Below are 27,180 nucleotides of genomic sequence, written 5' to 3'. Positions count from 1 at the left end.
ACGTCTTAAATAAAGCTGTAAGTCAGTCTATGAGGGACTACTGCGGATGTCTATCTTGCTTCCTCTCCTCTGTCCTTCCTATGAGAACTACCAACACCATCATATGGATCCATAATCCAGTCTGGGTCAATCATCTTATTGCACTCACTCAGCCACAGTGATTGACTCAAGGATTGCATGTACCCAACTAGGAAAAAGAAACCTTCCTGGGGATTCTCCCAGCCAGAACTAACACAGGAGCTTTCCTCCTCCAGATATGAGACCATCAGGGTGAATATTCAGAGCTCCCTGTGCTTCACAGTGTATGAAGAAATATCATTTACTCTAGGTGAGAATGAAGACAACAAAGAGTTGTTGATAGTGGATAGAGTTCTGTCATTTTGTGAGTCCCTGATTCAAGAGGCCCCTTCTAAATTCTTGTTATATGATCCAGTAAATTTGGGACAAGGCTAGTTTGAGAGGGGTTTCTATTGCATGCAGGCAAAGGTATCCTAACTAATGCATTCTGCCATCCAATGGCAGAGGATGAGTTTTTATTGATTTTCAACACATCCTGTGACATTTGATTCACAGACAGAGGTTGCAGAGCTCAGAGGTGAGTCTGAGACAGGAGATGGAAATGTGGCAGTGGTATTTCAGGGAAAGCTAACCAAGGCTGTGCAGAATTCTCTCTGCTGGTCTGAATACCACAACCTGAAATATTTTCCAGATTTGAAAGCTCAGATGTGGGCTCTGCTGAGCTTCTGGAAGCAATAAGACTCTAAGAAAGGGATTCATGCTAGGACACACAAGAGATTAAGGACAATACTACAATGAAATTTTATTAATTTACATTAAAAATAGAGCTGATATATAGACTAGAGCACTCCCATTATCATCTTATGTACATTATGTACTTAAGCTACACAGGAAGCCAAAACATAATCAAAAACCACTTGTTCAAGTTGCTTTAGTATAGCATTGCCAAGAGAGTTTGAAATCTGTATGTTCAGCGTACTTGGACCATAGAGGCAAACCAACATAGAAAGCCAGGTCATGAGCACTAGTCACAATAGCAAAGACTTGGAACCAACCCAAATGTCCAACAATGATAGACTGGATTAAGAAAATGTGGCACATATACACCATGGAATACTATGCAGCCATAAAAAAGGATGAGTTTGCATCCTTTGCAGGGGCATGGATGAAGCTGGAAACCATCATTCTCAGCAAACTATCACAAGGACAGAAAACCAAACATCGCATGTTCTCACTCATAAGTGGGAACTGAACAATGAGAACACTTGGATACAGGGCGGGGAACATCACACCCTGGGGCCTGTTGTGGGGGTGGGGGCTGGCGGAGGGATAGCATTAGGAGAAATACCTAATGTAAATGATGAGTTGATGGGTGCAGCAAACCAACATGACACATGTACACCTATGTATCAAACCTGCACATTGTGCACATGTACCCTAGAACTTAAAGTATAATAAAAAAAAAAAAAAAAAAAAGAAAGCCAGGCCATGAGCAGAAGCTTGTTTGACTGGAAAAGGATGGAAAATAAGGCATTAGATAAGTTATTGTTTAATGGCACTGAGCTAAAATAACCTTATGAATTTATTTTACAGGGCTGGGGATGTAGTCTTTGGATTTCGAAATATTTAAAGTTCAGATTGTCAAGCCTTCCTCTCTCCTGAATAGTACTCAAAAGGGCATGGTCAGTATTTGTTTCAGTGATTTTCCTCCCTCTGCCATACTATAGCTGTTCAATTCTTTTCTGCTGGAAATGTTCCTTCTGTGTATCTTATGCACTCAATTGGATGATGAAGTTAGTGGTATGGGGGAGCCAGTTCCCAGTGACTTGCACTAGCTCAGGAGCCCAGGCTGTGTACATCTCTTCCCAATGCTGCTTTCAGTGATGTCACATTGGCAGCTTGACATCAGCTGTGATGGAAATATTGACACCACAGAAATTGGCAAACATTACAAATCAGGGTGCTCTCCCCGCAAACACAGAAAGCTGGTGGTTCAACATTTACCAGCATACCACTGGTTATGAGTGCAATAGGCCCAACACGCTTGTTATTTCTTTCAGGTGTGCATTTCTACTTTGATCCATTATGGACTGATCTAATATTAGACATTTAGAGAAAAATTCTGTGGCCTGATTTCTAAGATCTTACAGGGTCTTTCACTTTGTCTCCAGCCCTTACAATAAAGGGCTCACTTGGGGTAAGGCTCCAGTTCCACAGGATGCTGGTCTAAGACAGGCACCTCCTGACTCTCAATATGGTATTCCCACCATACCTCTTACCAATCAAAACAATTACTTGTGGTCGGGCACGGTGGCTCACACCTGTAATCCCAGCACTGTGGGAGGCCGAGGCGGGCGGATCACGAGGTCAGGAGATCAAGACCATCCTGGCTAACACGGTGAAACCCCATCTCTACTAAAAATACAAAAAATTAGCCGGGCGTGGTTGCCGGTGCCTGTAGTCCCAGCTACTCGGGAGGCTGAGGCAGGAGAATGGCGTGAACCTGGGAGGCGGAGCTTGGGCGACAGAGCGAGACTCCGTCTCAAAAAAAAAATTACTTGCATGTAGAATTGTTCCCAGCTAGTAGGAAGGATTTCATAAAATCATTTACCCTAAGTTGCTAGCATTGACACAATGTGTTAACTTCTTTCAGATTATTTGTATTTTCCTAGTCTACAGGAAGCGTGCCAAGTGGTGAGATTTCTGGCAACCCTTCAGGCTACTGAGGGAGTTAAATAGAAGCCAGGGGCATTACTAACATTTCTTACTCTTAGGTTGGCCACCACCTAATGGCAACCCTGCTAATTAATTCTCTAAGTCTGGGGAGAAGAAATGCTGATGATAATAATAAAAATAACGATGTTTTCAGGATGTATCATTCCCTGTCCTTCCTGATAACATCGCAGGGAATTTCTCTGACTTTTGGTAACCTTCAGATAGGAGAGATAAGTTGAGAGAATGCAATCAGAATCTCTGTGACCCAAATATATGAAAGTACTTGTTGAAAAGCAAGGATTTATTGCCTGCAATTTGAGAAGACCCTAGAGATGGTCCCTCTCTTGTTTTGCAAATATACCAGTGATTACAACCAGAAAATGTACAGTAACTCAGAGGAGGGAAACTCAGGGCTCCTGTGTTCCAGGTGCACTCTCCCCTTTACATAAGCCTGCCACTTCCTCACTTGAGACTTCTATTCCCCTGGAAGTTTCCTTCCAGACGCAGTAAACAGAATACATCTGGATATGCCAAATCAGCAAGAATGCTGGAGAAACACACACTTGGTGCAGCCTAAACAAAGCCCAGAAGCTGCTGTCTGATGTTCTCAGGGACAGATGTCAGTGGCAGGCCTGGGCTGGCCTTGAGTGTGCAGGCTGCCAGGGGCGGTCTAGGCAGCTTCTGCCAGTTCTCAGACTCACCAGGACTGTTCACTGTCTCGCACTTGTTTCTTTTCAGGTTTTACAAGATTCATATGGTGTCTTTCATTTCAGTGCCTATTACTCATTTCAATGATTCAGCCGAGCCAGACAGCAAATGGACATGAGGTGTGTGGAGGAATCTACTGAAAACGGGATTGATTGGGTTTTAAGAAAGTAGGACTCAAGGCTGGATGAGGCAGCATTCTGAGAATCTTAAGTTCCCAAGGCATAATGTTCAACATTTACTGTCAAACCCAATTTCTGGCTAAGCCATTTATGCTTTCTGAATAAGCACTTTAATTTTCATTCACATCTACTCACCTTTAAAAAAATGGAAGTATGCACCAATTTTTAAAGAAATAGGACCAACCTTGGAAACTTATAATTATGAATCTTTATATTTTTATGATAGTTGATAGTTTACAAAGCTAGTTTCACTTGATCTTTACAAAAAACCCTATGGGGTGATATTTTTATTACCCACATTTTATTGATAAGGAATTAAATCTCACAAAGGTTTGAAGACTTTCCCAAAAGTGTCACAGGACAACTAAAACTAGTTAACCCCAAGGCCCTGTATCAGAATGATCACCTGCCTTTCCCCCACCAACCCACACTCACCAGGCACAGTGTCCAAGAGGCTCTGCCTCTTTCTCAATGCCATCTTTGGGTTGCCTCATCCTACCTGCAATGCTTACCTTCAAAGCAGATGCTGACAATGTGTTTGGATTTTGGAGGCTTGATTATGAGATAAAACTGAATAGTGCTGGACACATGTTGAGTTTCAGTTTTCTGACCCTTCTCTTTTGAGACTCCAGGTCCAACCCTCATCTGTACCTTCAGATTCATGGACACCACTGATGAGGTTCTGGCTTGCTTCATTTTCATTCATGACTTTGACTCCCAGACCACACTTTGATCCTGGTTCTTCCAGCGTTGATCTAGAAACATCCTAACCTCTAAGGCACCATCAAACCAATTTTGTCCAAGAAGTGTAAATATCATTGCCCACAATAGATCTAGCAACAATTAACATTTGCTGAGCACTTACCATGTGCCAAGCATGGTAAGTGATGAATGCTTTATGTTCATTAACTCATTTAATGCTCATAGCAACCCTTTGAGATAGGTACTCATAATTGTATAGATGAGAAAGCCGAGGTGAGTAACTTGCTGAAGATCACACAATAAGTGGGGAAGCCAGGATTTGTGCCTACATCATTTTGACTCTAGAGCGTGGGCTCTTAATCATTAGGAAGTACTGGCCTCCAGAAGTCATCTTACATCCACCTCCTCACAATGGATAATTGAGGATGACAAGTGGTTATAAGCACTTTCTTTGTTGAAATTTAAGCTTAAAAATTGATTTGGAGTTAGACATCAATCCATGACCTGGGGGAAAATACCTACAAAGAGAGACAATGGGAAGACTGAGAACCCATTAATGAAAAGCAAGCAGTCCACACTATATGGCTTGTAGTGTAACATTTGGACAAACACGTATTCTGTGGTGAGCTTAGGCAAGATGCTGCCCACACTGGGAAGGCAGCCAAGAATTACTGCCACCTCCACCCAAGAGGATCACCCTACTAAAGGCCACAGAGAGGACCAGCCCCCGTCAGAGACTGCTTGTAATTTCTCTCACTGTGGGAGCTTCCTAATGAATAAACAAACTAATAAAAGTATTTCTATAATTTTCTATGTGATTCAGATTCAGTGAAGCAGTAAGTCTTTGGTGCTTAATTATGCAAGATATCAAAAACACTTATTGTCCCAAATACTTTGCAGAGCAATAACATTAAAAAATAGTTCTAAGTCCTGTTTCACTGATCCAGACCTCTCTGTTTTTTCATGTATGATGCAAACTTTTAAAGAAATGAACAAAAGCCAGTCACTGGAAGCTGCTTGAATTAATGCGGATCAAGAAGAAAATGGCAACAATTCACAGTCCCCAAGCCTCATTTCAACTATTAGGATTCTCCCCTTTTAGATATTTTACAGAACTGCTAACGAGTTGTCAGTAATTACTTTATTGAGCATCTGCAAGGTGCACATCATTGTACATAGCTTGAAAATGTCAAATTGAGTTTTGTCACACCCTCTGTAAAGGCTTCCCTAATTTCCATGGTTTCGTGGTTTTTCTTCCTCTGTTCCAAGGAACATGTTATTAGTACCTTTACTGCAGCACTTACTTGTCCTTCATGTGTTACGATTGTACCATGTGTTCTCTCCACTAGGTTTTGAACTCCTCAAAGATGAAATCCATGCATTGTTCATCTCTGCAACCTTGATGTCCAAATACGTGTTTGACAGATGAACGAATGACTGAATAAATGAAGGATGGTTCACTTTGGTTCCTCCTCCCAACTACCTAGTCTGCATTTAGATCGAAGTGCTGATGCTGAGTGAGAAGACAACATTCAAAAGGCACAATGGAAAAGAGAAGTGTCCAAAGGCATAGCTGATCCACAGACTAGAAAATCAGCTCCATAATGAGGAAGAGGCTAATCCCAAGGCCTCAGAACATAACAGAGCCACAGCAAGATCTTTAAGCCAGAGTTGGGGTTCATAAACCCCAACCTCTACCTCAAAGCCCAGCGTAGCTCATTAGGAACAGGCCAGCAGTCCAGCCACCTGCTGTGGCTTCACGTCCAATGCAGATGGTTCTAGAGACCCACAGGCACAGCCACACTAGTAGCTCAGGGCAGTGGGTCTCAGCCACCTATCCTTACTGATACTTTTTGCTTTATTGTCCCTTTTTAGGTTTCAAAACTGGCCACCCAAGAATAAATAGACACTAAACAATTGGATGTGAAAAAGAAAGACATTCCCCAATGGTTCTCAAGAAGCCGTTTGGATGCTGTGCTCCTTACATGGTGCTAAGGGGCTCAAGCTGCCGTGGATGCCCTTTTCGGACCTTTCAGTATGCAAATATGTGCTAGGAGGGAATTAAGTTTCCATGGGATGCAGTAAGCATAATGTTGTACATGGATGGCTAATTGTTTTCATCACACATGCCAAATCCAACTGCTTTGTCAGGGCCTGGAGTCTGTTTGATGAATGAGGAAATCTTGCCATGGTCCAGAGAGGCAACTGAATAATAGCACGAACTTCCCATGTCTGACATCTCAGGTGTGATGGGACATGTGCAAACAACGTTGGCTCCTAATCTGCTCTCAGCTAGCCATGAAACTAAGGGCTAGCCTGTTGCCTCCCAGGGCCTTGGGTTCCTTATCAAATAATAGTTTGGCTGGACTGTCCCTCTGGTCACTTCTAAAATTCCTTTTCTTTATCCAGCAGGATTCTTGACCAATCAGTACCAAGTCAAACCCTCACCCTTCCATTTACCTTCACACTGCTGAAATAAAGGGACATCCAAACTTTATGCTCCCTAAGACAAGAGTTGGTAAAATACTGCTTTAAGTTTCTTAGCTAAGCCTGGTGCACATCTCCCTAGCATGGACCCATGCGGTGCTCATACTCCCTAACCTTGCATCACAAATTGATCAGGATGGCAGCTTGCTGGCTGCTGTTCTACTCTGGGTGTGCCTCCGCTATTTTTCTGCAAAATGTAACTCTTGCTACGCTCATGTTTCTCATCCATCGACCCCATGCAAATGGTTGACATATTGTTCTCTCCTTGTTGGGACCCCGAATTTTTGCATATAACTTTCTGATTGATCCTGGGCGGTAGCCCCAAGATCAGTATTTCATACTTGGCTGTTTCTACCTCTCAGCAATTCTTTAAAACATTCAGAAAAATCCAGGTGATTCCATCCCAATTGTGGGAAGCAAAGTTTGGTCCCTCTTGTTACCATTTTTTAGTGCAAGATTTAAAATGACAAGTGCTTGATCAAAAAAATTTTGAGAATGAGCTCTCACATTTAATTTGTATTAATGGGGGAGTTATGTTTGTAGCCTCAAACACACTGTAAAAATAATTTCCTAAGATATAATTATTCTTAAATATTTTATATATTTTTTTCAGAGATGGCCACAATAACTTTTATCTTTATTTTGTGGCTCTTTTCTATATAGTTGTATCAAAACAACCATTTAGGGACATAAGTCAGAGTATTTTTACTGTGCTGGGTACTTATTTCATGCATTAGAAAAATCTACTATGTTGCAGAATATGAATTTTCATGTTAGCTTAACATATAGATCTTTCAGTTCAACCTTGTCAGGCAGGGATACACGTCAAGTTAATCCAAGCTGGACAAAAGATGTCCTTGGATCTGCAGCACCTACTAAGAGCAGGGCTGTCCACCTTCTCTTCTCTTCTTTCCACCGGAGAGGACTGTATTATACCATTCAAGGGGCCCAAAAAAAAAAGAAAAGAAAACTTTGCCCTTCAATTCAAACTCTGTTATGCCACATTTGGCATAAAATGCTTACCATTACCTAAAAATGATTTTTTAAAAAATGCTTATCATTACCTAAAAGAAAAATGTAGCAAAATTCAACTTTGGAGGAAAATGAAAACTGTACATATCCTTGAGAACCACGGAAAGCTAAGAGATATAGAAAATTGTACATTCCCACAAAGTTATTTCAACAAAGAGGCATTATCTGCATTCCACCAAGGTCAGTCGAGTTGAGGAGAAAGAGAAGCAAATGCCAAGAAATTGGCTGCAGATTTTTTTTTTAATCTGTTTTGCCTTAAATCACAAAGAGCAATGGGAAGAACAAGCTCCCTTTCTCCTTTTCTCAGACACCTTTGGTCTAAAGTTGTTCTTTTTCTAGTTCTTCCCTCCCCTGTAATTTTTAATTATCAGAAATAAATACCAGTGCATTTCAGGTGGTCGTCTGTGTTAGAGTGCATAACTGAAGTTATTAGTGGCTTGGGAGTTTGCACATATAACTGGAGGTAAACAGCAGATTACTACACCTAATCTCACCCTGAGCATTTCTCCTCTGTCAAGTCTAAATTCTGCCATCTTCTTTTGCAAAAACAAGCAGACATCCCCACCAAAGGCCAAAATATAATGATAACTGACAGTGAACAGAAACCCATTGTAAAGACAAACTATTCCAGCTTTCAAATTCACTGTGACTGGATACTATTAGTTTTTTGAGTTTATAACTCCCCAGAATTGTCAAAAGTAACCTTGTAGCCAATCCGCTTGCAGACACTAAAAACCACCTGAAATAGGCCACCCAGGGTACCAAAAGCAGTGTCAAAGAGCAGTGAGACAGTGCCACCAAGGCCCAGTGCAATGTCCTTGCAAACAATTGGAATAGCGCCCATGGTGTACACAGGGAAAGTGGCCACATCCACAAGGACACGGACAGGGATGCTCAGAACTCGGCAAATGGCCTTCAGCAGACAACAAAGGATCCGGAGGAGAGCCCTGATGACTTTGGCCACGACCTTGAGCACCTTCCAGGGAATGCTCACCAACTCTTCCCCAATGGCCATGAAGTATGAGATGGTGGCTGAGCCCAGGCGGTAAAGGCAACTTTCTATGCCATTAATCACCTGCTTGGTAACACACCACAGGAAATAGACAATGTTCTTCAGGATTGCTACCACAAGGTAATAAATTAATTGAAAAAGCTTGATGAATGGGGTAGCAATGAAGCCCATGAGTTTTCCCAAAAAGCTACTACTTCCCTCAGATGCCTCTGGAGGCAACAGAGTAGACCTCTTGCTCCTGGTGCTAGAAAGGGGACTAGAACTCTTTTGAGATTGTACCATTCGTTCTTCATCCTGGATTTGGTTAACCACTTCCAGGATTTTTTTCATTTTCTCTGTGTCTTGCTCAGTTTCACCACAGTTGTTCTGAAACAGCTGAGGGTTAAATGGAAGCAGTTTCTGAAGATCTTTTACCATCACATCTTCTATGATGTCACTGTCCCGGGTGTGCTTGACAAAGCCCATGGCCCAGCCTCCTCCAGGGACAGCACAACAGGCTGCCAGCCAAACAAACTCAGGGACTGCCACTTTGTCTTTAACTCTGTAGTCTGAGGGCACTGTGCCTGTGAGGATATATAGGTCTTCCCCACTGCCACACTGTGGGGTCAAAGCCCGGTCCATTAGGCTGTGGAGATTCACATACCACCGTTCCTGGAAGGACTGAGTCATTGGGGCTGAATTTGTGAGAGTAAATGTGGCCACCTGGACATCACTGCTAAGGGAGAATGGGTAAAGCTGTCCTCTTTGGTAATCAGAATCAAGGTAATCTGTATTCAAGGCTTGCTTGCTTCCCAGGCTGTTCACAGAGGTGATGGCCTCTGCCTCATTAATCGCCTCCTCAAGGTTGCTGTTGGGGTCATCGATCTGCAAGAAGAAAACAAGTGGTGAGATGCATCCCTGCTTACAGCACAGAGGCAGCACTAGAATCATCCTGCCCAGACTCTGGAGAAGTCCCCACTGGTCTATTACTTCAAACGCTTGAGTTTGGAAGGACTTGGTTCTCTGGCACATGGACACTTCATTCTGATATACCAAAATCCTGGTGTTTCAAAGCATCTTTCAGATAGGCTGTTTCCTAGTCTATTACCTGTGTTTATCCCACCCTGCTCTACAGTAACACCCCTTCACTCACACTCACACCCACCATCGTGATGTTCTTTTTAAAATCTGTTGTAGTCTGGGGCCAGGTGCGGTGGCTCACGCCTATAATCCTAGCACTTTGGGAGGCTGAGGCGGGTGGATCATCTGAGGTCAGGAGTTCAAGACCAGCCTGGCCAACATGCTGAAATCCTATCTCTACTAAAAATACAAAAATTAGCTAGATGTGGTGATGGGTGCCTGTAATCCCAGCTACATGGGAGGCTGAGGCAGGAGAATCACTTGAACCGGGGAGGCAGAGGTTGCAGTGAGCTGAGATTGCACCATTTTACTCCAGCCGGGGCAACAGAGCAAGACTCTGTCTCAAAAAAAAAAAAATCTGTTGTAGTTTCATGAACTTCATAATTCTTTTTTGGAATACTTTTGCATGAGCTTCAAAGTAATTCTAAAAAAGAAAACAAGGGGAGAGTAGATCTCAACAGGCCCATAAAGCCAGAACTGCAACTCAGTTAATCAGCCACCAATGTTGGTTGCAATTTAATGCACATGTTCCTAATGAATGTTTACACATTTTCGGATTTATGAAAAATAACCAACTCTAATCAGCGCATTTAAATTACATGGGGGAAAATGTACAGTCTGGTGTCAGTTATTAGGTATTTATCAGGCAAAACTAAAATTCAAATTAGACCAGTTGCTGTTTGAACTTAATCTCCCCAATATTTGCTATGACTAACAATTCATTTTGTGTCTTGGTCAATCTAGACATGTGCTATATATCAATTGCCATCAATATATACATCCTTTCTTGGTTCTGCTTTCTTTATAAAAAAATTCAATATTATTTATGATTATTTTCATCTTATCTGAAAGGACAAAAGGAAAGTGCTTAGGATTAATTTAGGATTATGTCATTATCCCCCAAACTAACTTGTAAATTCTTGACACCAGAAACCATGTATATTCCCCCAGAACCCAGCCCAAGGCCTGACACATACTAGAATCTCAAGGCATTCTTGTTGATCTTTATGCCCTGGGGCGGCAGTATTTATAATAGCAGCAAGTGGAACCATCCCACATTTTAAAAAACAGGGAAAGGTTTCGTAAATAATGTTATGTTATATCTATCAAAGAAATAACTCATTAAAAACCATTATGGCCAGGCATGGTGGTTCATGCCTGTAATCCCAGCACTTTGAGAGGCCGAGGCAGGTGGATCACCTAAACTCAGGCATTTGAGACCAGCCTGGGCAACATGGCGAAACCCCATTTCTATAAAAAAAAAATTCAAAAAATTAGCTGGGCATGGTGGTACACACCTGTGGTCCCAGCTACTCAGGAGGCTAAGGTGGCAGAATCGCTTGAGCCTGGGAAGTAGAGGATGCAGTGAGCAGAGACTGTGCAACTGCACTCCGACCTGAGTAACACAGTGACACCCCCATCTCAAAAACAAAATCATTAAAAAGCACTTGGAATTATAAAGGGGTTCGTAATGATAAGAAAATATATGCTATAATGTTGAAAAGAAAGGGCAGGATATAAAATTAAATAATCACTTTTTTAAAAGCCTTCGAGTATGTAAGGAAAACTTTTGAAATAAGCATATGACATGTCAACATGGTTGTTTGATTCCTGGGGATGCAAGTCATATTTTTTCCTCTATCTTCTTGTTTCTCTCCTTGTACCTCCCTACCCACATCAACCCATAATATGTGTTACTTTCAAAAGGAAATAAAAAAATACAAACCTAATTAAAATGAGTAAATTCTTGTTAACTGATTCCCTAAAATCGGTGCTACTCACTAAACATATAAAATAACCACCCAGGGAGTCAAGGCCATAGGAATTGTGTTGCACCTCTAGTCTGAGGGCAGTCCAACTGCACATCTCTCTGGCTCTGCAATGGCAAATGAAGACACTCTCTTGTAGGTATGCATAGGGGTATTGAGGGCAATGGATGAGCAACTTGGTATAAAGGCAAGAATATTTGCTGAAGTCTAATGGAGTAATCTATCGGTTGACCCTACTCATTCACTCCATGCCTTCCCCCATTCTTAGAAGGAGCAATGATCCTGGGTACTCTTCACCTGCTACCACATCCCTTGTAGGATAGAGGAAGTTGGTGTGGAGATTCCTCAGGGATCTAGAACTAGAAATACCATTTGACCCAGCCATCCCATTACTAGGTATATACCCAAAGGATTATAAATCATGCTGCTATAAAGACACATGCACACGTATGTTTACTGTGGCACTATTCACAATAGCAAAGACTTGGAACCAACCCAAATGTCCAACAGTGATAGACTGGATTAAGAAACTGTGGCACATATACACCATGGAATACTATGCAGCCACAAAAAATGATGAGTTCATGTCCTTTGTAGGGACACGGATGAAGCTGGAAACCATCATTCTCAGCAAACTATCACAAGGACAAAAAACCAAATACCACATGTTCTCACTCATAGGTGGGAATTGAACAATGAGAACACATGGACACAGGAAGGGGAACATCACGCACCGGGGATGGTTGTGGGGTTGGGGGAGGGGGGAGGGATAGCATTAGGAGATATACCTAATGCTAAATGATGAGTTAATGGGTGCAGCACACCAACATGGCACATGTATACATATGTAACAAACCTGCACGTTGTGCACATGTACCCTAAAACTTAAAGTATAATAATAATAATAATAATAAAGAAGCTCATTCATTTGGTTAAGCTGCTGTCTCTGCTCTCTTATATCTGAAAGATACATCCCAAGGAAACATCAGCCTCATTTTTGAATCATAAGATCAGGATATAGCAGAGCCAAGATCTATGGAGACTTGGGTGTAAGGTCGGGATTTTAAGATGCACATTTCTCCATGGTTACTGGAGCATTTTGTATGCACTTAACCTGGTGCAGTGCCTTCATTCCTTCTAGGGGAATCTAAAGATTGTTTTTGAATTGATAACCCTGTGGCAGAGCATAGGGGGAGCATGCTGGAGTGTCTCTAGCCCAAGAGCCACCCAAGGGTGAAACGTGCCTACAGGGGTTGATGGAAGGCCTAAAAAAATGAGCAGAGAAGAGGGACTTGGATGAGGAAGGGGAGGAAGCAATAGAAAGAGGCAGAAGGAGAACAGGGGAGGATAAAAAAGGGAAGCAAATGAGAGAGAAGTAAATGAGAGAGAACGTGCATGGCATGTGTAAGAGACCAAGTGTCCTGTTGTTAAGCAGAAACCAGGACTTACAATGGACTTATAAAGGACTGTGGGGGTTGATACACTCCCAAACTGCTATGCGTGGTCTTCCAGTGCTGCAATCAGAGGAGACTAAGCTGGGTGTTTCTGCATCCTCTTAGATCACTTAAGTTCATGGGGCTTCAGATTTCAGCCATGGCCTTGCACCTGACAACCAGGTAAGGCCTTTTCTGCCCAACTCCACAGGGAAATTTCCCATACACTTACATGGCAAATAAGCCAGGATCGAACCAAGGTGGCTGGGAAGGCCGTGGCCCAATTCTACACTGGGTCCTGTGCACCCCCCTGCCCTGGGCCTTCCAAGGCAAAGCAGTAACTAAACCATATGCTTCAGAAATACAGGCAGCTTGGGGCACATCTTCCCTCCCCTTCCCCTGCTTTCTTCAGAACCTCATATCCATGTTTACTATATTCTTATGAACTCCAAACCTGGTTCTATGGTTTGATGACAAGATAGAACATAGTGTTTAAAATTGAGACAGAATATCTGGCTACTATACCTGTATAGTGATGGGGAGATGGATTGGAGACTAATATTTTTTGAACTACCAATTTAATGCTTTCAATACAACATTATGTGGAAGGCATTTTTACTTTATTTTACAGATAGGGAAACCAAGACACAGAATGATGAAGAAAATTTTCCAGTATTCCAATAATTAGTAGCAGGAATGGAACTTTTTCCATTTCAATGATTTTTTTTTCTAGCATCTCTATTTTGTTTTATTTCAAATTCTCCTTTTTTTCTCTCTCTTGGGAAATCCTTTTTTATCTTTTAATAGTTTAGACATTGATTTTTAAAGTTCCTTTAAGATTTCTCTGTTTGGTTTTTCAGTTTATTTTGTTGCTTCTACTGGTTGACTTCAAGGAGTGTGTATAGTTAAGTACTTTGCAATTTCTGCTGATGAGTTTATCATCATGAGAGGTCCATGGTATTTTGTCAGAAAACAAAAAAAAACCCAACAGGATTGCTTTCAAAGTTGCCCCTGCCAGACCCCTACAGCATTCAATGAATTGGGACCAGCTTCTGAGTTATTTTCTCAGTTCAGGGTTTTCACATGGAGAAAGAAGAGCAAATATGGAACCACCACGCCCAGCCGGAAAAATGCTACATTTTATCCAATATTCTATGTGTTTGCAGTGTGAGGAAAGGAATTCCACATCTGCTCAGTTGACCAGATGTTTTCTCCATTGTCTCAGGCTTAAAACGTTTCTCCTAAAGCAAGCCTTGTTTCCTTTCATAACTCATTATAGATTTATCATCCCAAAATGTATCTGCTTTGCTTAAATTTTTTTTTTTTTTTTTGGTATTTATACTACCTCCTGAATCAATGTTTGGTATGAGTAGGGCAGTATGTTTCAACACTTTTACTGATGGTAACAAGAACTATATAGGCTGAAGCCTCTTACTAACAATGGGCTACAGGGACTCTCAGCCCTTTCCTAAATCACATTGGCCACGTTGTAAACAATCTGATTCTGTTTTCTTACTAATTCCTTTGTATTAACTATTACCCACAACTCTTTTGTCTGTTCATGCAGGTATTTCTATCTCCCTGAAATTCATTTCTGTCAATTTTATCTTTTGCAACTTGGAGTTGTCAAAAAAAAAAAACCGGACATTACATTATGAAGTCACTTTAACACATCATTTATAAAAATATATTAAATCCTAGGACCTTTTATTTTTACTTTTTTTTTTTTTTGAGACGGAGTCTTGCTCTGTTGCTCAGGCTGCAGTGCAGTGGCCTGATATTGGCTCACTGCAACCTCCGCCTACCGGGTTCAAGCGATTCTCCTGCCTCAGCCTCTGGAGTAGCTGGGAATACAGGCACGTGCCACCACACCTGGCTAATTTTTGTATTTTTAGTAGAGATGGGGTTTCACCATGTTGGCCAGGCTGGTCTCGAACTCCTGACCTCAAGTGATCTGCCCGCCTCGGCCTCCCAAAGTGCTGGGATTACAGGCGTGAGCCATGGCGCCCGGCCCCTAGGACCTTTTAATACCATACTAACTGATTTCCACTGAGGAAAATGCCCATTTGCTCACTATGCTATCTCCCTGTTTAAGACCAGTTTTTTAACCTATGACAAAACTTTCTTTTGATCCCAAGATGACTCATGTTTTAATAGCTTTTGTTGAAGAATCATCTGAAAAATCTAAATAAAATCAGTATACCAGCCCCCATCATTACCATGCTCACCTAACTCTACAAAACAACTAAGTATGTCTTGGTAGGCTCTCATTTTCTGAAGGGATGCTAAAGTGTCTGTGTGTGTGTGTGTGTGTGTGTGTGTGTGTGTGTAACTTAAATGCCCACTTCATCTATAGGAAACTGTATTAAAAATAGTAATAGGCCAGGCATGGTGGCTCACGCACATATAAACCCAGCACTTTGGGAGGCTGAGTGGTTGGAACTTGATCACCTGAGGTCAAGAGTTCAAGACCAGCCTGCCAACATGGTGAAACCCTGTTTCTACTAAAAATACAAAAAAAAAAAAAAGAAAAGCCAGGCATGGTGGCATGTGCCTGTAGTCCCAGGTACTTGGGAGGCTGAGGCATGAGAATGGCTTGAACTCAGGGAGGTGGAGGTTGCAGTAGCCAAGATCATGCCATTGTACTCCAGCCTGGGTGACAGAGCAAGACTCTGTCTCAAAAACTGAAAAAAATATATAGAAAAATAACAATAGTAATACTATTTGATTAAAATAGTCTTAGTATATTCTTTGATACATTGTCACTTAAAGAGTAGATGTATTTTTCCATGCTCTCTACAGACATGGTTTAATGATCTGGTTATTGCAATTATAGTAAATTACTGACAACATTGCTCCCTAAAGACAAAAATAAACCTATGATGTAAAAGGTTATTTCAGATGGCAATTTCTGGATTATACCTGCTCATTTGCACACACCACTGATCTTCCTCTTTAGTATCCCAGTGGAATCTCTAAATATAGGGGAACACACAAAGCTCTGTCTTATCTACCTCCCAGCTGACCTAATCCCCCTGGACTGTCAATGTAATTTGATACAGTTCCTGTATTCAATGGAAAAATTTCTTTCTAATCTCAACATGTTAAGTAGGTTTTAGAAAAATGAGCTGTCTTCGCTCTACTAGCCTCCTGCCCCATAAATAATCTTACAATAAATTCATTTTGAAATTTAGTACCAAGAAAAAAATTTATCTCAAAGGGCTGATCTGTTTCCTTATATCAGACAGTAAAACCTATTTAAATCCATAGGTAGTTTTTTTGTTTGTTTCAGAATTAAATGAGGGGAAACTAAATTTTTATGATAATATGCATGTAAGGAAAACAATGAAAAATTGAAAAGAGTATTGGAGGGGAAACATTCACCCATTCCACAATATTGTTAAGCCTATATTATGGATGACTAGCACTGCAAGAGGAGGCATTGAAACTGAAAATAATAACAACAATCATCATTTCTTAAGCACTGTATGCCAAACACTCTTCTATGAGCTCCACATGTATTATTAATAAATCAGGAAGGGGCTGAGCTAACTATACTCTCATTTAAACTTGCAACAACTATGTATTATTACTACCACATACAAGACAGGTGAGGAAACTGAGGCACATTGAGATTCAGTCACTGAAGAAGAAAATGAAGAGGGAGCACAGCAAGATGGCAGAATAGAAGGCTCCACTGATCATTTCCCCATAAGGACACCAATTTAATAACTATCTACACAAAAAACTACCTTCATAAGAACCAAAAATCAGGTAAGCACTCACAGTACCTGGTCTTAACTTCATATCACTAAAAGAGGTACTAAAAACATAGGAAAACCAATCTTGAATGAGCAACACCACCCCTCCACCATCCCACAGCAGCACTGGCATTCTATGCAGAGGGTAATTCTATGTACTGGGGAGAGGGGAGTACAGCAACTGCGAGGCATTGAACTCAGTGCTGCCCTTGCTACATAGCAGGAAGCAAAACTGGACCAAACTCAGCTAATGCCTGCCCACGGAGGGAGAGCATTAAACCAGCCCTAGCCAGAGAAAAGCTGCCAATCCCAGTGGTTGGAACTTGATTTTCCACAAGCCTCGCCACTGTAGGCTAAAGTGCTATGGACCTTAAATAAACATGAAAGGCAGTCTAGGCCACAGGGACTGCAACTCCTAGGTGAGTCCTAGTGCTGAACTGGGTCCAGAACCAGTGATCTAGAGGGCATGTGACCTACCGAGACACCAGCCAAGGTGGCTAAGGGAGTGCTGGCATCACCCCTCCCCTAACCCCAGGTTGCACAGCTTACAGCTCCAAAAGAAACCTCTTCCTTCTGCTTGAGAAGAAGAGAGAGAAGAGTGGAAAGAACTTTGTCTTGCATTTTGGATACCAGCTCAGCCACAGCAGGATAAGGCACTGGTCAGAGTTGTGAGGCCCCGTTTCTAGGCCCTAGCCCCTGGATGACATTTCTAGTCACACTGGGCCAGAAGAAAACGTGTTGTCTTGAAGGGAAGGACCTAGTCCTGGGAGGATTCATCATCTGCTAACTGAAGACCTTTTGGGCCCTTAATAATCAGCAGCAATACCTAGGTAAGCATGTCATGGGCCTTAGATGCGACTCTGAGACTTCCTGGCTTCAGGTGAGATTCAGCACAATACCAGCTGTGGTGGCTACAGGGACAGACTTCTTCTGCCCAAGAAAAGTGGAGGAAAAAGTAAAGAGGACTCTATCATGCACCTCAGGTACCAGCTCAGCCACAGAGAGCATCAAGTGGGCTCTTGGGGCCCCCGATTCTAGGACTTGGCTCTTGGATGGCATTTCTGGACCTGCCCTGGGTCAGAGGGGAGCCCACTGCCCTCAAAGGTAAGTCCCAGGCCAAGCAACATTTGCCACAAGCTGACTAAAGAGACTTTGAGGGAACACTGACGGGGTGTTCTGGCAGTACTCCCTGAAAGACTGTGGTGGCAGTGTCAGAGCCCACAGGGTGAGGCTCCTCTGCCTTTGGAAAGGGGAGGGAAGAGTGAGAAGGACTGCATTTTTGTGGCTTGAATGCCAGCTCAGCTGCAATGGACTAGAACACCAGGTAGACTTCTAAGGCTTTTGACTCTAGTCCCTGGCTCCCAGATGGCATCTCTGGACATGCCCAGGGCCTGGGGGAACTCACTGCCCTGAATGAAATAACACAAGCCTGGCTGGATTTGCCACCTGCTGATTGTGGAGCCCAATGTCCTTGAGCAAACATAGGCAGTAGCCAGGGAGTGGTTACAGCAGGCTGTGGATGAACCAAGTACTGTGCTGGCTTCAGGTCTGACCCACCACAGTCCTAGCGGTGGTGGCCACAGGGGTGCTTGTGTCACTCCATCCTCAGCTCCAGGTGACTCAGACCAGAGAGAGAGACTCTGTCTGTTTGAGAGAAAGTAAGAGAAGAGAACAAAAGACTCTGCCTGGTAACCCAGAGAATTCTTTCTGATCTCATCCCAAGACTATCAAAGTGGTACCACTATGAGTCTGCAAGAACCACAGTGTTACTGGGCTTGGGATGCCCCCTAAAGCAGATACAGCATAGATCACAACACCCAAGTCCTTTCATATCTCTGGAAAGCCTTCCAAGAAGGATGGGTAGAAGCAAGCCCAGACTGAGAAGACTACAATAAATACCTCACTCTTCAATGCCCAGACACAGACAAACATCTACAAGTATCAAGACCATCCAGGAAAACATGACCTCATCAAATAAACTAAATAAAGCACCAGGGACCAATCCTGGAGAAACAGAGATATGTGACTTTTCAGACAAAATTCAAAATAGATGTGCTGAGGAAACTCAAAGAAATTCATGATAACACAGGGAAGGAATTCAGAATTTTATCAGATAAATTTAAAAAAGAGATTGAAATCATTAAAAAGAATCAAGCAGGAATTCTGGAGCTGAAAAATGCAATTGACATACTGAAGAATGCATCAGAGTCTTTTTAATAGCAGAACTGATCAAACAGAAGAAAGAATTAGTGAGCTTAAAGACAGACTATTTGAAAATACATAGTAACAAGAGACAAAAGAAAAAGAATAAAAAACAATGAAGCACACCTACAAGATCTAGAAAATAGCCTCAAAGGGGCAAATCTAAGAATTACTGGCCTTAAAGAGGATGTAGAGAAAGAGATAGAAGTAGAAAGTTTACTCAAAGGGATAATAACAGAGAACTTCCCAAACCTAGAGAAAGACATCAATATCCAGGTACAAGAAGGTTATAGAACACCAAGCAGATTTAACCCAAAGAAGACTAAGAGATTTAATCCAAACTTCCAAAGGTCAATGATAAAGAAAGAATCCTAAAAGCAGCAACAGAAAAGAAACATATAAAATACAATGGAGCTCCAATATGCCTGTCAGCAGACTTTTCATCAGCGGAAACCTTACAGGCCAGGGGAGAGTGGCATTCCATATTTAGAGTGCTGAACGAAAAAAACTATTACCCTAAGAGTAGTACATTGGTGAAAATACCTTCATACATGAATAAGAAATAACCACTTTCCCAGACAAACAAAAGCTGAGAGATTTTAGCAACACCAGGCCAGTCCTGAAAGAAATGCTAAAGGGAGTACTTCAATCAGAAAGAAAAGGATGTTAATGAGCAATAAGTAATCATCTGAAGGTGCAAAACTCACTGGTAATAGTAACTGCACAGAATATTATTATATTGTAACTGTGGTGTGTAAACTACTCTTAATCTTAAGTAGAAAAACTAAATGATGAACCCGTCAAAAACCGTAACTACAACAACTTTCCAGGACACAGACAGTACAATAAGATATAAATAGAAACAATAAAAAGTGAAAAAGTGGGGGAATCAAGTTAAGGTGTAGAGTTTTTATTAGTTGTCTTTTTGCTTGTTTATCTGTTTGCTTATGCAAACAGCATTAAATTGTTATCAGCTTAAAATAATGATAGTATTTGCAAGCCTCATGGTAACCTCAAATCAAAAAATATACAGCAGATACACCAAAAATAAAAAGCAAGAAACTAAATCATATCCCCAGAGAAAATCACTTTCACTAAAAGGAAGACAGGAAGAAAGGAAAGAAGAAAGAGATGACCACAAGACAACCAGAAAACAACAAAATGGCAGGGGTAAGTCCTTACTTATCAATAACACTGAATGTAAATGGACTAAACTCTCCAATCAAAAGACACAAATGGGCAGAATGGAGGTAAAAACAAAACCCATTGATCAGCTGCCTACTAGAAACATGCTTCACCCATAAAGACACACATAGACTGAAAATAAAGGATAGAAAAAGATATTCTATGTAAATGGAAATCAAAAAAGAGCAGGAGTCACTATGCTTATATCAGACAACACAGATTTCAGGACAAATACTATAAGAGACAAAGAAGGTTATTATATAATGATAAAGGGGTCAATTCAGCAAGAGGATATAAAAATTTTAAATATATAGGTAACCAACATGGGAGCACCCAGATATATAATGCAAAGTTTTTGTTTTTGAGACAGAGTCTTACTCTGTTGCCCAGGCTGGAGTGCAGTGGCTCAATCTCAGCTCGTGGCAACCTCTGCCTCCCAGGTTCAAGCAATTCTCCTGCCTCACCCTCCCAGGTAGCTGGGATTACAGGCACATGCCACCACACCTGGCTAATTTTTGTATTTTTGGTAGAGACAAGGTTTGCCATGTTGGCCAGGCTGGTCTGGAACTCCTGACCTGAGGTGATCTGCCTGACTCAGCCTCCCAAAGTGCTGGGATTACAGGCATGAGCCACCGTGCCCAACCTATAATGCAAATATTATTAGAGCTAAAGAGAGAGATACACCTCAATACAACAATAGCTAAAGATTTCTACACACCACTTTCAGCATTGGACAGATCTTCCAGACAGAAAATCAAAGACAAAGAAACATCATACTTAATCTGCACTATAATCAAATGGATCTAATAGATATTTAATCCCATTCTTGTCCTCAGCACATGAATCATTCTTAAGGATACACCATGTGATAGGTCGCAAAACATATCTGAAAACATTCAAAAAAACTGAAATAATGCCAAGCATCTTTTCTGAACACAAAGAAACAGAAATCAATAACAAGAGGAATTTTGGAAACTATACAAATACATGGAAATTAAACAGTATGCTCCTGAATGACCAGTGGGTCAATGACAAAATTAAGAAGGAAGTTGAAAGATTTCTTGAAACAAATAATAATGGAAACATATTCCAACATAACAAAACCTATGGGATACAGCAAAAGCAATACTAAGAGGGAAGTCTATAGGCATAAGCACCTACAACGAAAAAGTAGAAAAATGTCGAATAAACAGCCTAATGTTGCATCTTAAAGTACTAGACAAGCAAGAGTAAGCCAAGCCAAAATTAGTAGAAGAAAAAATAAAGATCAGAGCAGAAATAAATGAAACTGAAATGTAGAAAACAATACAAAAGATCAATGAAACAAAAAGTTGATTTTTTGAAAAGTTGAACAAAACTGACTTAGTAGCCAGAGCAACTAAAAGAAAAAGAGAGAAGACCCAAATAAATAAAATCAGAGATGAAAAAGGAGACATTAGAACTGTACCACAGAAATTCAAAATATCTACTATGAGTGGCTACTATGAGCAACTGTATGCCAATAAATTGGAAAATCTGGAAGAAATGGACAAATTCCTAGGCATATACAACCAACCAAAATTGAACAAGGAAGAAATCCAAAACCTGAACAGACCAATAACAAGTAATGAGATCGAAGCTATAATAAAAAAGTCTCCCGGTGAAGAAAATCCTGGGACTTAATGACTTCACTGCTGAATTCTACCAGGCACTTAAAGAAGAACTAATACCAATCCTACTCAAACTATTCCAAAAAACAGAGAAGAAGAGAATACATCCAAACACATTCTATGAGGTCAGTATTACTCTGATACCAAAACCAGATAAAGACACATCAAAAAAGAAAACCAGAGGCCAGCATCTCTGATGAATATTGATGCAAAAATCCTCAACAAAATATTAGCAAGCCAAATTCAATAATACATTAAAAAGATCATTCATCATGACCAGGTGGGATTTATTCCCGGGATGCAAGGATGGTTGAACATACATAAATCAATCAATGTGACACATCATATCAACAGAATGAAGGACAAATACCTTATTATCATCTCAACTGATGATGAAAAAGCATTTGATAGAATTCAACATCTCTTCACAATAAAAGACCTCAAAAAAGCAGGGATAGAAGGAACATACCTCAACATATATATAATAGACCCACAACTAGTATCATACTGAATGGGGAAAAACTGAAAGTCTTTCCTGTAAGATATGAAACATGACAAGGATGCCCACTTTCACCATCATTATGCAACATAGCTAGGAAGTTTTAGCTAGAGCAATCAGAGAAGAGAAAGAAATAAAGGGCATCCAAATTGGAAAGGAAGAAGTCAAATTATCCTTGTTTGTGGATGATATAACCTTATATTAAAAACCTAAAGACGCCACACACACACAAAAAAAAAAACCTAGTAGAACGGATAAACAAATTCAGTTAAGTTGTAGGACACAAAATAAACTACAAAAAATCAGTCACATTTCTATATATCAACAGCGAATAATCAGAAAAAGGAACAGAAAAGTAATCCCACTTAAAATAGCCAAAAATCAAAGTAAATACCTAGGATTTAACAGAACCAAAGAAGTAAAAGATCTGTATAATGAAAACTATAACACACTACTGAAAGAAATCAAAGAGGACACACAAAAAGAGGAAAAATATTCCGTGTTCATAGAAGAATCGATATTGTTCAAATGTCCATACTACCCAAAGCAATCTACAGATTCAATGCAATCCCTATCAAAATATCAATGGCATTCTTCACAGAAACAGAAGAAACAATCCTAAAATCTATATGGAACCATAGAAGACCCAGAATAGCCAAAGCTATCCTAAGTAAAATGAACAAAACAGGAGGAATCATACTACCTGACTTCAAATTATACTACAGAGCTATAGTAACCTAAACAGCATGTTACTGGTATAAAAACAGACACATAGACCAATGGAACAGAATAAATAACCCAGAAACAAATCCACACGCCTACAGTGAACTCATTTTTGACTAAGGTGCCAAGAACATACACTGGGGAAAAGACAGTCTTTTCAATAAATGGGGCCAGGAAAACTAAATATCCATATGCAGAAGAATGAAAGCAGACCCCAATCTGTTATTATATACAAAAGTCAAATCAAAATGGATGAAAACTTAAATCTAATACCTCAAACTATGAAACTACAGAAAACACTGGGGAAACTTTATAGGACACTGCTCTGGGCAAAAATTTCTTGAGTAATATCCCGTAAGTACAGGCAACCATAACAAAAATGGACAAATGGATCACAAGTTAAAAAAGCTTCTACACAGGAAAAGAAACAATTAATAAAGTGAAGAGACAACCCACAGTATGGGATAAAATATTTGCAAACTACCCATATGACAAGGGATTAATAACCAGCATATATAAGAAGTTCAAACAACTCCATAGGAAAAAAATCTAATAATCCAATTTAAAAATGGGCAATCAGCCTGGGCGACATAGTGAAACCCCGTCTCTACAAAAAATTAGCTAGGCATGGTGGTGTGCACTTGTAGTCCCAGCTACTCAGGAAGCTGAGGTGAGAAGATCACTTGAGCCCAGGAGGTAGAGGCTGCAGTGAGCCAAGATTGTGCCTGGGCATCAGAGTGAGAGCCTGTCTCAAAATCAATCAATCAGTTAATTGATCAATCAATGAAACATAAAAAATGAGCAAAAGATTTGAATAGACATTTCTCAAAAGAAGACATACGAATAGCAAACAGGTATATGAAAAAGTGCCCAACATCATCAACCATCAGAGAAATGCAAATCACAACTACAATGAGATATCATGTCACCCTGGTTAAAATGGCTTATATCCAAAAGATAGGCAATAACAAATGCTGGTAAAGATGCAGAAAAAAAGTAACCCTCTTACACTGTTGGTGGGAAAGTAAATTAGTACAACCACTATGGAGAACACTTTGGTTCTCCATAACTAAAAACTAAAATAGAACAAAAAAACTAAAAATAGAGTGACAATATGACGCAGCAATTCCACTTCTGAGTATATACCCCAAAGAAAGAAAATCAGTATATCGAAGAGATACCTGCACTTCCGTGTTTGTTGCAGCACTGTTCACAATAGCTAAGATTTTGAAACAACCTAAGTGTCCTTCAACAGATGAATAAAGAAAATGTGGTACATACATATGCACAATGAAGTACTATTCAGCCATAAAAAAGAATGAATTCCTGTCATTTGCAACAACATAGATGGAACTGGTGGTCATTACATTAAGTGAAATAAGCCAGCCACAGAAATACAAACATTGCATTTTCTCACTTATTTGTGGGATCTAAAAATCAAAATAATTGAACTCATGGAGTTAGAGAGCAGAAGAATGATTACCAGAGACTGGGAAAGATAGTGGGGAGTGTTGGGGAGGTGGAGACGGTTAATGGGTACAAAAAAATAGAAAGAAAGAATAATAAATAAGACCCAGTATTTGATAGCACAATAGGGTGAATATAGTCAATAACGCTTTAACTGTATAATTTAAAATAACTATAATAATATAATTGGATTGTTGGTAACATAAAGAATAAATGCTTTAGAGTAAGGATACCCCATTTTCCATGATGTGATTATTAGACATTGCATGCCTGTATCAAAATATCTCATGTTACCCATAAATATATATACCTACTATGTACCATTCCATGCCTGTATCAAAATATCTTATATACCCAATAAATATATACACCTACTATGTACCCACAAAAAAATTTAAATTAAAAAAAAAAAAGCTTCAGTAATTTGCCCAGGGTCACATGGTTAGTATGTGACGGGACCACGTGCCAACTTAGGAAGTCCAGCCCCATAGCTAATGTTCCTAATCACTGTTTCATATGCCTCAAAATGGGCCTTCGCATCAATAAAGTCACCATCTATTTACGGAAACAAGGCAGATACATACAAACTTAAACAGAAAATCAAAAGAAAAGCAACAGCATAATCCAGTTTATATCAACTGCTAAATAAATGTTAGAAAGAAAAGCAACGGAATTTCAGAGGAAGGAAGGGCACAATGAGTGCAGTCAGGGAAGACACTGGAGGAAACAATCCTGAAGTGGAACTTGAAGGATATGCAAGATGTTGACAGATTTGGTGAAACAGATAGGTCAGTAAAGCTTTAGCAAGATTTCTACACAAAGGCTTTAAGGCAGAAACAGGCAGCCTGTGAAAATAGGACACTAGGTAAGGAAAAGTGACAGGTTACTTGGAAAGGGCAGCAGGGGATCAGACGAAAATTTCAAAAACATTGTTGCATCCCATTTACCCTTCACATAACCCTACAAGATAGGTATCATTATCATCTCCATGTCAGACATGGGAAAACTGAAACTCAGATGAATGGCAGGTACAAAGTCATCAAACAAGCATGTGGAAGAACCAGGGCTTAAGCCCAGCTTCTCTGATTTCAAAGCTCCTAAGTACATGCCAGTAGCATCCCAAGTATCTGAATGAGGAGGGGAATGCTGACAGCCACAGAGCAGACACTGTGAGAGAACAGGAGGATAAAGGAACAAATGAGAGACAAAAATGGTGCTATAAGGAGAATCAGTTGTCTAGGGTCATGCCAAAAGTCAAGGGAGGAGAAAGCTTTGGCTAGGGGATGATCAACAGTGTGTGCCACCTGCTGCAGAGAGGAAAGAGAAAGATGAAGTTAAGGCCTAGGCCTTTGGTGATTAGAGACCAGTAGCGACAGAGGGCTCAGGAAAGAAGACAGCTGGTGGAAGTGACTGGGTATGAGCAACAGGAGACTGCAGCAAGAGGCCTCTTGTTTAAGAAGTCTTTAGGTAGAGGCAGGAGAGAAAGAGGACCTCGGCCTTGAGAGATAAGCAGGTTACAAGGATAAACAAACATCGTCTTCCATGCAAGGTAAAGGGAACACTGGGAGGCTGGGGCTACTTGAGTCTCTGCATGACATAGCATCTTAGGGCAGGTTACCTGAAGCTCTAAAGCAGGGGTCTCCAACCCCAGGGCCATGGACCAGTACTGGTCCACACAGCAGGAGGTGAACAGTGGGTGAGCAAGCGAAGTTTCATCTATATTTACAGCCATTCCCTAACACTTGCATCACCGTCTAAGCTCTGCCTCCTATGAGATCAGCTGTGGCATTAGATTCTCATAGGAGTGCAAACCTTATTGTGAACTGCACATGTGAGGGATCTAGGTTGTGTGCTCGTTATGAGAATCTAATGCCTGATGATCTGTCACTGTCTCCCATCACCCCCAGATGGGACCATCTAGTTGCAGGAAAACAAGCTCAGAGATTCCACTGATTCTACATTATGGTGAGTTGTATAATTATTTCATTATAGATTACAAAGTAACAATGATAGAAATCAAGTGCACAATAAAAGTAATGCTCTTGAATCATCCCGAAACCATCCCCCTGCTCCCCGGTCCATGGAAAAATTCTCTTCCATGAAACCTGTCCCTGGTGCCTAAAAGGTTGGGGACTTCTACTCTAGAGCATCCCAAGGGGAATGCTCAGAAGGCAATGGGTTGGAGGAGCAGGAAGGCACTGAACGGACTCCCATCCCTGAGGACTTCTGGGCTGCAAAATCTATGCAAATGTCAGGGGCCAGAGTCACCAGTGCAGATTTGCCATAGGGAGTTTGTCACTGAGGAGGGAGGAGGAGCTGTTTGTGGGAAGTGGCCTTCAGGGACATAAGCATGAAGATTTGGAGCCTGCCAGTACCAACACTGCTCGCTGGCCTCCTCCACTCCTTTTCTGTCCTTCTTTGGCCCAAGCACTCTTTTCTCAACTTCTCTAGAGCTAGAATCATGTCATCTTCACAAGCCGTTTCTCTGAAATAGCTCAGAGACATGACAGGGACAAGGGA

The 27,180-nt window shown here is 40.9% G+C and overlaps 1 protein-coding gene across 1 annotated transcript in view; it reads right to left on the bottom strand.

The window, feature by feature from the left end:
* Positions 1-5,448: 5,448 nt before the first annotated feature.
* Positions 5,449-27,180, bottom strand: part of ENDOD1 (endonuclease domain containing 1) — a 42,800-nt gene continuing 21,068 nt past the window's right edge. The window contains exon 2 of the mRNA NM_015036.3: positions 5,449-9,717. Coding sequence (NP_055851.1) covers positions 8,515-9,717 — 1,203 coding nt within the window. The 3' untranslated portion in view covers positions 5,449-8,514. The remainder of the gene's footprint in view (positions 9,718-27,180) is intronic.

This window comes from Homo sapiens, chromosome 11, assembly GCF_000001405.40.
Source record: "Homo sapiens chromosome 11, GRCh38.p14 Primary Assembly".
Lineage (NCBI taxonomy): Eukaryota > Metazoa > Chordata > Mammalia > Primates > Hominidae > Homo > Homo sapiens.
The sequence above is the reverse complement of the archived record's forward strand: the minus strand, read 5'-3'. Positions and strand labels throughout refer to the sequence as shown.